This window comes from Homo sapiens, chromosome 12 (assembly GCF_000001405.40).
Source record: "Homo sapiens chromosome 12, GRCh38.p14 Primary Assembly".
NCBI classification, from domain to species: Eukaryota; Metazoa; Chordata; class Mammalia; order Primates; family Hominidae; genus Homo; species Homo sapiens.
Window position 1 is genome coordinate 41,541,780 of NC_000012.12, and position 12,297 is coordinate 41,554,076.

The 12,297-nt window shown below is 37.2% G+C and overlaps 1 protein-coding gene across 2 annotated transcripts in view; it reads left to right on the plus strand.

Annotated features, from left to right (window-relative positions):
* PDZRN4 (PDZ domain containing ring finger 4) overlaps positions 1-12,297 on the plus strand; it is a 386,426-nt gene that overhangs the window by 353,460 nt on the left and 20,669 nt on the right. For both annotated transcript variants that reach the window (NM_001164595.2, NM_013377.4), the window contains one exon: positions 10,877-10,975. In NM_001164595.2, the coding sequence (NP_001158067.1) occupies positions 10,877-10,975 (99 nt within the window). The remainder of the gene's footprint in view (positions 1-10,876; positions 10,976-12,297) is intronic.

Below are 12,297 nucleotides of genomic sequence, written 5' to 3' on the forward strand. Positions count from 1 at the left end.
TTGAAGGCACTCTTGTGGATCATTTTGCGAATGTTTAGACTTTGCTTTTATCCCTGACAATCCTCTTTCTGGCACCCGAAGTAGCTATCTATTATCTGTATCTGCTCTTATATTTAGGCAAAAGGTATTTTGCCTTTCTGAAGTGAATATGTCTTCAAAGTGACTTTTTAAACTATAAAACAGTATCCCAAACAGTAGATGGTATCTCTTTAGCTGACTTCCTTTGCTGAAAACATAGCCAACTCAAGAGCATGATAACAGATGTAACCAAGAAGTACAATCATCGAATCAGAGACAACCACAGCACAAAGGGTCACCCCGTCCTTATGGATTGCTTACTTTGCAGAGTGCACATAGCTAATGTCAAAAGAAGGTTGTTAACACTCTCTTTTGAAGAGCTATTTTCAGTAATTCAAAGGAAAGACAGTTTACAAATGCTGAGAGTGGAGATGCAATCAAGACCGCGGGGCCAGGTGAAAGCAGCACTATAGACATTACAATAGGGATTTGAGCCTCTCCAAGAATGGACAGTACTCTTCTATAAAAGTGAAGTCTGCTCTTTCTTCTTTTTAAATTTGCTATAGACACTAAGGGTTGAAAGAATAGTAAAGATCTTTTCAACTCAAGCCTTGCTTTCCTAAGAATTCTATGCTCTCCATCCTCATTCAGTTGACATCACAACAAACGAAGCTCTCCACCTTGTTCCTGCCTCCACACATTTCATCTGGATAATACGCTTCATTCAGCATCTCTCTCCCATTCAGTGATTCTGCCACCCCCAACACACACGTTTCCATGAACCCCCAGACCTCAGTTCCAGGTCGGAATGACTTGATTGAAGAACAGTATCAGCATGGTAACAATAAAAAAGAGCAACTGAATGAAAGTCAGGAGGCCTGGTTTCTACTCTCAGCTCTGCCACTAAATTGTCAGATGAATGTGGGTAAGTCATTTCAATTTAGAAAAGATAGAAGGCAAGTTAGATTATGTCTAAAATTCCCTCCCAAATAATTCTAGGAAGTAAATCATAATTATGTTTTTTTTTCTAAAAAATCTAATCAATACTAAAGATAAAATAGAAGAAATTTATGCTTTTGCTTGGGTTAAATACCAGAAAATCAAGTTCTTGCTTTCTCTCAATCATCCTAATTTTATAATTGCTTATGTTTTATATAAGATGGAAGCCACAGATTATGCATATTGGCCTCCCTCTCCCTTTTCTGCCCAGGACTTTGGTTATGAGACCTGTTAGAAATCAATCCTAATCCACCTCTCTAGTGTCCTCTCTTAATACATCCCTAAACCCTCTTCATGGTAGCCAACACTGAACTTCTCACCCTCCATGTAAACAGTAGCTTCTCTCTGGAGCATCCCCTCTTGTGGCTCATCTTGCCTCTTGATTCATCCAATCTATCTTTTACTACATATCCCATTGCACTATAGTGAATTCTTTATGTGCTTAAGCCTCCGTCTATAGACAATGATCTCTTAAATGACCATTGGACTATAAGAATGCATCTCTTGAAAAAGCAATCTTCAGAATTAAAAAGTGTGTGTGTGTGTGAGAGAGAGAGAGAGATCTGTGTTCAATTTCTGATTCTGATGAGTAGTTGCTGAGTGACCTTAAATAAATTACTTAATGCTGGCTCTGAATTTCCTCATTTATAACATAAAATTTGTAGATAATACCTACAAAAAGCAATTGGGACTACAGTCCAAGAAACAGAAGACCCAAAACAAATGCTTAAGGGAAAAAGGAGTTTTATTGGCTCTCCTTGCTAAAAATTCCAAAGGTTTATTGTTTTAGATATAACTTGTTGCAGGGGCTCAAATAGTGGCACTAAATTTCAATCTTTCTCCATCTTTGGCTTTTATTCGCTTTTTTGAATCCATTCTCAGGGTCTATATATTGTGGCATGATAAAGCTTTGAGCTACTCCTGATCTACATTTTTGTGGTTCAAATACAATAGAAAAGACAAGTGTTCTTTTCCTAATAGTTTCAACAAAAGTCATGAACCTGATTTTGATGGGCTTGAACTAAATCCTCATTTTTGAAATGATCACTATACCCAGTGAACTAAATAAAATGCACTCATTAGCTAATCCCTAGATCACAAGCCCAGCCCTGGAGCTGGAATCAGCCCTGAACAAACACATGGACTAGAAAGAAAAAGGTGTAATTCTGCAAAATAAATTTTAGGGTCATATTTCCAAAAAAACCATGAATAAATGCTAGATGGACCAGAAATAACTACTGTGCACTGTATTATCCTATCAGATTCTTAACAATTAAATGAAACATTATTCACAAATCATTTAGAGGAATGTTTGGTACATAATAAGTTTCCAAGTGTAATCCATTGCATGTAGCAGGTGCTAGGAAAATGTCCAGTGAGTAAAGTGAATAAGTAAAAACTGAACATGCTAGAGGAATTCTTAGAATGAGTAACTTCATAGATAATTTTGTTTTAATTTTACAGTTCATTTTTTGATTACTTTTCTTGTTGGCAGAGATAAGAGACTGGGTCACATCTATTGTTTGTACAGCTTTCAGAACGTATTCTACTTAATCTAAGACAATTATGCTGCTGTACAAATATAGCAAAAGCAATTACACTCTACACCCAACTTCGCTTTAGCAGTTAACTAATTCAACAAACGCATGTGGGGCTTCTCATAAGCTCTCAGTCCTCTGCTGGTACTATAAATGCAAAGAAAAAGAAGGCAAGGTGCCATCCTCAGAGAAACAAATTTCTTTTTGTTTCATATCTAATGCTGTGGGATATAATAACAGACCTAACAGATAAGGACCTTCTTAGAGAACAATAAACAGGTATTTTAAAACTAAACATCTTAATGAAATACAAATTTTCTAATTAAAAAAAGAAAGAAAAATAAATGCTCATAATTGCCAAGAAGCTACTAAGCATCAGTGAAATTTTGATAGAGGACTTCAGGACCCCTATTTCAGAAAGAGTGATAGACAGTGGTACCATCTGGCAATTAAGCTGAGAGCTGAAAAATGAGAAAGAGCAATATACTATGAAATCAGAGGAAGGTGCTGTTTAGAATTCAGACCAGGTCCCTTAGCTAGAATGTGAATCCCAACTCCACTTTTGACTTGCTGTGTGACTTTGGGCCCAAGTTCTCTCTGTGGCTTCTTTTCTTCATCTATGAAATGGAAATAATGATAACTGTGTTTAAGAACCGATAGGACAATGACACTGCTTGCATTCAAGCCCTTAGCTTCTCTTGCATGAACTGGTAACATTCGCTTAATCCCTCCAACTCACCCACTATGCTAGTGCTGAAGTCATCTTTCTAAACTACAAATATGATAGTTTTATTTCTTTTATAATAGCCCCGTTTACTTTTTGCAAAGAACCCAAATTATTTAATAGGGTGTAGTCATCCTTCCGTGATCTGGCCTTTGCCTACCTCTGCAGTTTTAGTGTTCACCATGACCCCTCACCCAGCCCAATCTTAAACTCTTAGCTTCGCACACATTAACTACGTAAAGTTCCTCTAACATGAAATGCTGTTTCCTACCTCTGTGCCTTTGCATGGTCAATGTTTCTCTGTTTGGAAATTTGGTCTCCTTGGTAAACACCAAGACTAATTTTATGATCTCTTCAAAATTTGCTGGATTCTTCCAGTAGCCCCCAACCTAGAACTGACTACCATGTCCACAAGATTTCCCTCTGCCCCAGCCCATATTGATGATATTAATGTGTGTGTGTGTGTGTGTGTGTGTGTGTGTGTGTGTGTGTGTGACAATGAGAGTGATCTAATGAGGATACTGAAATAAGTAATACAGGATAAGAAGGAATAATTCCATGAGATAAATTCTTGAAAAATAATAAAGGAATGGTTTACAGAGCATGAATGGAGGCACTCAACTTTGGTAGGATTGGGGATTTTTCTTTTGCTGTATAGAAAGGCAGCCCAGAGAGTCTTTCTACGTACAAATGCATGTGGATTGACAAGTGGAGGGAAGACACAGAGGTTTCCATTCCATGGTTTCTTTTTCCTCCATGAAGTCTAGAACAAGATGACCAGCCAAGCATGAAGAGAGAGAAGGGCATGGTAGCAGAACTGCAGACAGAAGAGGTACGAGATACCAGACTGGGAGAGCAGAAAGTTGAGGTCATAATAATCCACTAGGATCCAGTGAACTATCAGATAACGTCATCAACTAAGAGTGGGCGGTTTTTGTTGGAAATTTGAAAAAAGAGGAGGAATTATGGCACTAGTTCCTTTAGCATGTGAAACAGCAACTTGGCAAGGAAAGTAGAGTATAATTGTCGGGCAGCATGGATTGCTCATTTGCAAATTGTGGTAATGAACGTACAGGGAAAGCAGTCACTATGGTCGTCATGGTGTGCATCCCCTCTGGGACCATGTCACTGCTCAGCTGGGGAAGCAGGGAGGTGAATACTTGGTCTTAACCACAATTGACCTTCTTCTGGATGATACAGTGGACAAAGAGAACAGGGTAGTTGAGGATTTCGGAACTCTGCCAATGCTTTTTATCTAGAGTCATGTTGCCATTTTTGTCCCAAGAAAGGCAGGATTAGATTATTGTTTAACAGATTGAGTTGGTGTAGTGTATTCTTGGTTATCAAAATACTCGTATAGCTTTGGGATTTTGAACTGGGAATATTCATGATGTGTGAAAAATCATGATACATACTGTACGATCTCAGTCCCATAAAACTGAATGTTGTGCCTACACATGCACAGGACCTAGAAGAACATGTCAAACTATAAACTGCTTGTGATTGTGAATGACTTTGTTCTTTGCTTCTTGTGTTTTTCAGTTTCCTATAATGCACATATTAACTTTTTAAAAATAAAGGTTATTTTAAAAGCCAAAAAAAAGATACTACATCTAACTGTGAATTTCAAGCTGCATAAGGAGACAGGAGTGAGCCTGAGGGAATTATTGACAGTGAGAAGGGGAAGGGTCAACAGGTTCGAGCTCTAGCGAGAGAACAAAAGTGCTGGAGTGGGAATGCAAGAGCATTTGAGCTGACCAGGAAGTGAAGTGCTTAACATTGCTATTTTTAAAATAAGGCAACTATGAAAATGACATTTTATGAATGTCCTCTTCTACACATTGCTTATAGCATGTTAAACTATTTTGATGGAGATCTCCCAAAAACTGACATGTGAGTCAGGAAATCAAATCACAAATGGCCGTGGATAGTTAGCAATACCTTTAGGAACCTAATAAATGATCATTTTAATATCTGCTAAAAACTCAACATTCAACTATGAAAAACCTTGGATTCTGGATTCTTCCAAAGGTAAACCACATGACACTAACAAATAGCAAAGTAATTGCAATTTCCTCAAAAGATACAACAAGCAAAATAGAGAAGGGGGAAAAAACCTTCCTGATGTAAACAGAAGTGTCTTCCTGGTTTCCTTCTATAGCTTTGTTCTTTGTTTTAGACAGATTGCTTTTGGGTGGAAGCCCATTCTAGGAAAGGTTTCCATGCAGTCTGCCTGGTTCCCTAGTTGTCACAGCAGAAGTAATGACACAAAATTTATGGATCATGGCCAGGCACGGTGGCTTATGCCTCTAATCCCAGCACTTTGGGAGGCCAAGGCTGGCAGATCACTTGAGGTCAGGAGTTTGAGACCAACCTGGCCAACATGGTGAAACCCCATCTCTACTAAAAATACAAAAATTAGCCAGGGGTGGTGGCAGGCACCTGTAATCCCAGCTACTAAGGAGGCTGAGACAGGAGACTCGCTTGAACCTGGGAGTGGAGGTTGCAGTCAGCCGAGATCATATCACTGCATTCCAGCCTGGGCGACAGAGTGAGACTCTGTCTCAAAAAAAGAATTAAAAAATAAAATAAAAACAAAATGTATGAATCACTTCTCACTTACTTCAATTTATGTTTCTCTTTTCTATTCCTGGTCCAGATTTCCTGACATCGACTGTTGTTTGCCAGCATCATGAATTCATTTCCTCCCCCATTAACAGTAGAGGCAAAAATAATGTTTCCTTCTTTGTTAAGGTATAAAATCTACACCAAATAGGTCATTGATGACTTTTTAAGGGGATTCACAGCCCACAGTGAGAAGCAGCCAACCTGGGCCTAGAGAAATGTGACTGCTTTCTTTCCCAAAGAATCCAGAATGTCTCTGATTCTAAGAATGGGAAATTGGAGGTTAAAAGTTGCCCATATTTCAGAAGACCATTGAAAAAGAAGTAGTCAAATAAACAGGCGGGGTTAAGGATGTTAGAGAAAAGACATGATCATAGGCTTTAGCTTTTACCCTTATGTCTCTACAGAAATGTGATTTAATTATTAGTTGCAGCAACTTGTTATGAATAATTTGGAGTTGGAGGGTGCAAACCTGAAATGTTTTGTCAGAGGGATTTGATATTCCAGGAGTTTCGTGATTTATTTTTCACTAAGTATTATCCCCAGATTCCATTATGCAGGAGATAATGATACTGAAGCAATATTTTTATAATAGACTATCTAGCTTTCTCTTAGCTGTGGGGATTAAAGTTTTAATATTTCTCATTTGATTTATTTTTTGAAATAAGTGTTTTATTGGAACAACAAAGCATATTTCACTAGTTGCTAATCAACATTAAAAAATGTAAGATGATATATGATTAACACTCAGATTGAGTAAAAGTGCATGTATTGTCTAATAAATGAAAACCAGGAAAATAAATAAAGATATGGACATAAAAGACCCTACATTCCCCTGTTGTCAACTGATATAAACGGCTAGCGTGTCTAGCCCTAGCTCTTCTTCAAACTTGAATAGTGCTGACTGCATTTGAATTTTCTTACGAAGAGGAAAATCTTTATGGCATGCATGGGCCTAAGGGTTCTTTAAAGTTTGAGAACAATGCTGCTTAAAAAGCCAATGCTTTTTAAGCAGTGTCAACTCTTGTTTCTTTCCCCAGTAAGAGAGAGTTCTATCTAGAAAGCATTTTTTTTCTAAGTTTCTCATTTCTCCCTAGACTCAATCACAAAAAAATATAAAAATTTCACACCGCTGGAGTACAACCAATGTATGTAAAAATCCCATTTGTGTCATTCTATGATTAGAAAGATGTTTCACAGCAAGCTTTAATAACAAACTCTAATCTTCTACTCCACCTTCAACCTATATATAATCAATTTCTCACAATATTAGATGCTGAAGTTTGATTTTTTTTAAAGAGACTTTAGACGCGTCCCCAGAATAGCACGTCTTGAAGTACATTTAAGTCAAAATAAATGTAGTTTCACCAGGTGTGTGAAGTGATTCTTTCACTCTAGTGACAAATGACTTATGGATGGTTAGCGCTGCCATCCATGCAGGCTTGGCATTGATTTGTATACACTCATGAATTGTCTCCATGGAGAAAATGTACAGAGGTAGCATTTCACTTTTATGTGTTTCATCAAACAGCTTCCAAGTGACAGAGGGAAAGGTATGAAAGTTGTTAGGGAAAACATTCTCTATTACCAAGAGGTTGTTTCTTCAGAAGTCAGAGGCTTGTGTGTCCTGTGAAGGGAATACTTAATTAAACCTGTGCTGCAGAATTCCTTTCAGATAATCAAAGTCTTTATAAAGCCACCTTTGCCTCCTACAAACAAAATTGTCTACAGGTAGCTGCTTATGAGTTATTTTGACACAGAATTAAGGGAACTTTGATTCTAAAATGTATGTTTCTGTGTTTTAATATAAACTATGTAGTATCTGAGACAATCTCAACCAAGAAATACAACTTCACACTTGGGACTGGTGTGAGGTGGTTTGCAGGTTCCAGAAAAATCTCACTTGGGTCTCTTATGGTGCCTGAAGGCTTTCTGCCAAGGGTTTAGTCCCTTGCATTAAGGCTTTGTATTTTCAGCCTTTATTAATATGCGCTAAAGCCTGATGGGGTCACATGTTAAGTAATTGTTAATGATGATTCCTTTGAGAGATATTTATGTATCAATTATTTGTATGTCTCAAGAGTTATCTGTGAGAGAATGGAAAATCACACTGAATGCCAGGTTTTGTTAGGGGACAAGCAAAATGGCAAATCTATAATACTCATACCTCAAGGACTCCAAGGAGCTGAAAGGAAATAGGAGGGTGTTGAGTGTCTTACAAAGGGGAATATTGGAAACAAAGACCATGGAGATAACTTTGAGACCTGTTTCACAGTTTTGGTTTGGTCCAAGGTAAGGAAAATATTGAAAAGTTACTTTGACCTGAGGACCTTAGTCTCCTTTCCTCTGAGATACTTGGGTAAGTGCTTTGATTTGTGGTGTCGAAGAATTATAGGCAGATTGTGCCCTTTTTGTTTTAATACATTCACTCAATTTTATTGCCAAAAAGTTGTTCTAAGCAAACACCAAAGTCAAAGTACACCATTGAGAATGTGGAGAAAACGTTCAAAAAAGAATGTCCCCCGCTGAAAATGTCTTCTCACAATACTGAGAGTTGCTTCCGTGCTTTGTTAGGGCATTGAAAGTCGGTGGATTTCAGCTTTGGCTACAGCTCCTCATTTGTATTGATTTAAAGGTCCCAATCTCAGCTCGTTTTGGAGTGTGTAGTTTTCCTTATTGGCCTCTTAGGAATCACTAAGAGATACTCCTCAACTACATACCTTGTTGCTGTAATTGAAGCTGTTTTGTTGCTATAATTCCTTCCTAATGTTGCAGTTTTAGTCAAGTATTCTTTCCCTCTGGAGGCATTAATTATTACCAGTTTTGAAAAGAACTTTGCTTGGTGTGTACATTTTTGCTTCTGGTGCTAAATCATTTCACTGTTTCCTAGTCTACGTCTAGGAAAAAGGATGTTTCACCTTTTCTCTTTACTGTGCAGCCTACACTATAACCTTCTTAAGCACTATAATATAGAGTATCTTTGTCCACCAGTCAGAAAGTCAGCATTCTTCATAGTTTCATGCATTTCACTAATTTGCAGTACCTATCTCAGAATAGAGGATTTAAATTTAGTTTTATTTGCTATTATCTGTGAAATTATTGGTCACTGGAGTTTATGAGAGCAAATCCCCTTGCTAAGGATTTACCCATGATGTACAGCACATCATTTTTAAACAGGTTATTATCCACTGACAAGGACTTCATTCAAATACAAAATTGAAAAGGAGGATATATACTCAAATGTACAGAGTGTTCTGGGAAATATTCTCTTGTTTGAAGTTAAGTAAGTTTTCCTTCATTTTGTACTGGTAACTATTTCAGATTTTAGACAATTAAATGAATACTTTTTGTCTTTGTACATTTGGGCTGCTATAACAAAATACCATGAACAGGGTGGCTTCTAAACAACAGAAACAAGTTTATCACAGTTCTAGAGTTTAGGAAGTAGAAGATCAAGGCACCAGGAGTTTTAGTGTCTGGTGAGGGCCTGTTCCTCATAGAGGTCACCTTCTCACTGTGTCTGTCCTTACATGGTGGAAGAGGCAAGATAGCTCTCTGGGGCCTCTTCCTAAGGGCACTAATCTTTTTCATGAGGGCTCAGCAGTTCTTACGACCTACCAAAGTTGATTACCTTTGGTAATCACCTACCAAAGTCCCCACCTCCTTGGTAGGTAAAATATGTTGAAACCCTAATACAAATTGTAGGGAACACAAACATTTAGACCTTAGCACTCTATTCTTATCAACTTTCATAATCTTTACACACACACACACCTCACCTCTATTTCCAATCAAAGAGGAAAGACTACCTACCTATGGTTTTACAAAAATCTCTGTGCATCTGGAAAGATTTTTGAAATAAAATTAGTCACCCTTCAGCTAGTTGTTACTGAGTGCCCACACTGAAATATCCTGTTGTAGGCACTGGAGAAAGAGCATTAAGCAAGACAGATAAATTCAGAGCTCCCACAGAGCCTGAGTGCTAGAAATTGATCCAGACTTCACTTCTAATTTAAATAGACATTGTTCTTCTTCATCCAATTATTTACTAATGGGTCTTATATTCTACATCCAATAGGAATAAATTCTCCATAATTAGTGTGCTAATTTGTGTTTTAATCCTTGGAAATATGTAATTTATCCTGAAGTCATCGGCTTCTGAAAGTAGTACAAGTCCATTTCATTATATAAAACTGAAATACACTGAAATTTATTATTATTTTACTGAACATAAATCAGGAAATGAATTTAATATACATTACCTGAGGACTGACATTTCAAGCCCTTAGCCATGTGTTTCAGTAAATGTATTTTCCTGTTCATTTACTGCTTCATTTTGAATCATTGCCTCTGCCCCAAATGGCTTTTGATGTCTCTCCCTTCAGCCTGGATGAAACCATTTCTTTCCAAGAATGAGAGTTTCTACAAAATAATAGAAAACCTTGGCCTGACCTATACAAAACACTTGCTTATTATCATATTGTGTAGAACTTCAGAGCAGAATTGATGGAAACAGCTTGGTATAGTCTTTTTTTTATTATTTGAAGTTATGTTGTTTTCTTACAATACAAATAAAAACATGTAATAGTAACTCCTCATGTTTTTATGAACATTTTGCCACTAACTTTGACATTCTCAATTATTTTATTGATTCCAGTGTATTCATGTATACATGTATTTGATTTATACATTATTGTGTAATTTTTAAGGAGTTTTGCATTGACAGCTTGATGCAAACAACTGTGTATCTCCAAACTTACAACAAAAATATAAAACACTGGCTTCCCTACATAGAAATCCATGCTGAAAGAACATTTGAATAATATTGGTAAAAAAAAAAAAGTTAATTTCCAATGTTGGGCAATAATTATTAATACTTGCCAGAGTAACCCAAAGAATATCAGTGAGTTCTCCATTCTGTTGCAGATTTTCTCTCTGACATAAATGTCATCTGTGTGTGTTGTTCTTTCAGGAGGTCGAGTTGTGTCGTGTTAGCAGTCAAGAGAAGCTGGGCCTGACAGTCTGTTACCGAACAGATGATGAAGAAGACACCGGCATTTATGTCAGCGAGGTAAGAAACGCCATGGAGGGGAAATTCGAGGAGGGAGACTAGGAAGAACAGAGCGAAATGACTCACAATGAGAAAACCCTTCCTTCAGAGGCTTGAATGTGAAGAATTGGAGTTGGCCATGTTCCAAAACGTGTCACCTTCAATTAGGAAAGTAAATTATTCTGCCCAAGTAATGTAATTATTATGAGCTTGTTTAATGTGAATACTTTCACCCCAGAATCCCAGCAAGGAAAAGTGCAAAAGTGGTAACATTGTCCAAATTTGAATAAATTCCCATAAGAATGCAGCAAGTCCAGCAAAGTTTTTGATCCTCAAACATCTGTCCTTCCATTCTACTGTGTCTTTTATGAGTTCTATTAACAGTAGCACTGGCTAATTGTTTTAAATTACTACTCACAATAATCACATCTTTTACTCTGCTGATGGCATTGATACAGTTGAATACCCAATGAGTGCATCTGTTAGTTTGTTTTATTCAACCCCGCAAGTGAGATTCCACACTTGATCTTAGGCAAAGGCCAAGAAGCAATGCACAAGTGAGAGTCTAAAATGCGAGATACTGTTAGTGTTCATTCCTTTTAAAGACTGTGAAGCAAATTGTATTACAAGAGATGATTTTTTAAAACTCGCAAAAAGCATTATTTTATGTGAAGTGGGAAGGAATGTTTTTAAAAATTAAGGCTGGGCACAGTGGCTTATGCCTATAAACCCTGCACTTTGAGAAGCCGAGACAGGAAGATTGCCTATGGCCAGGAGTTTGACTCTGTCTCTACAAAAAAAAAAAAAATATTTAGTCAGTCATGGTGGCATATGCCGGTAGTCCTAACTACTCAGGAGGCTTTGGCAATAGGATAGCTTGAGCACAGTAATTCGATGTTACGGTGAGCTATGATTGTGCCACTGCACTCCAGTGCAGTGACACAATGAGTGACAGAATGAGACCCTGTCTCTAAATATAAATAAATTAAAATTAAATATGCTTATGATAAAAAATTACATACTTATATGTGAAAAACATATGTGTACATATGTTTATATATAAATGCAGAAGTTAGACAAACTAGATACTAATTGCTGCTCTATGCTGTTCTGAGTTTTCTTGGCCATAATCTTGAAAACGTTACCTAAATATACTGAGCTTCAGCTTTCTCAACTACAAGGTGAGTACAACAGTGCTTATCTTATTGTTTTGATAGACCTGCTTAGAATGTGGAAGAGATAATGTAATTAATGCATTTAGAAAACAACACAACTCTGTAAGTGTAAAATATTACTCTTTATCCCTCTGCCAAAAAATTTACTGACCGGCTTCTGCGATGGAA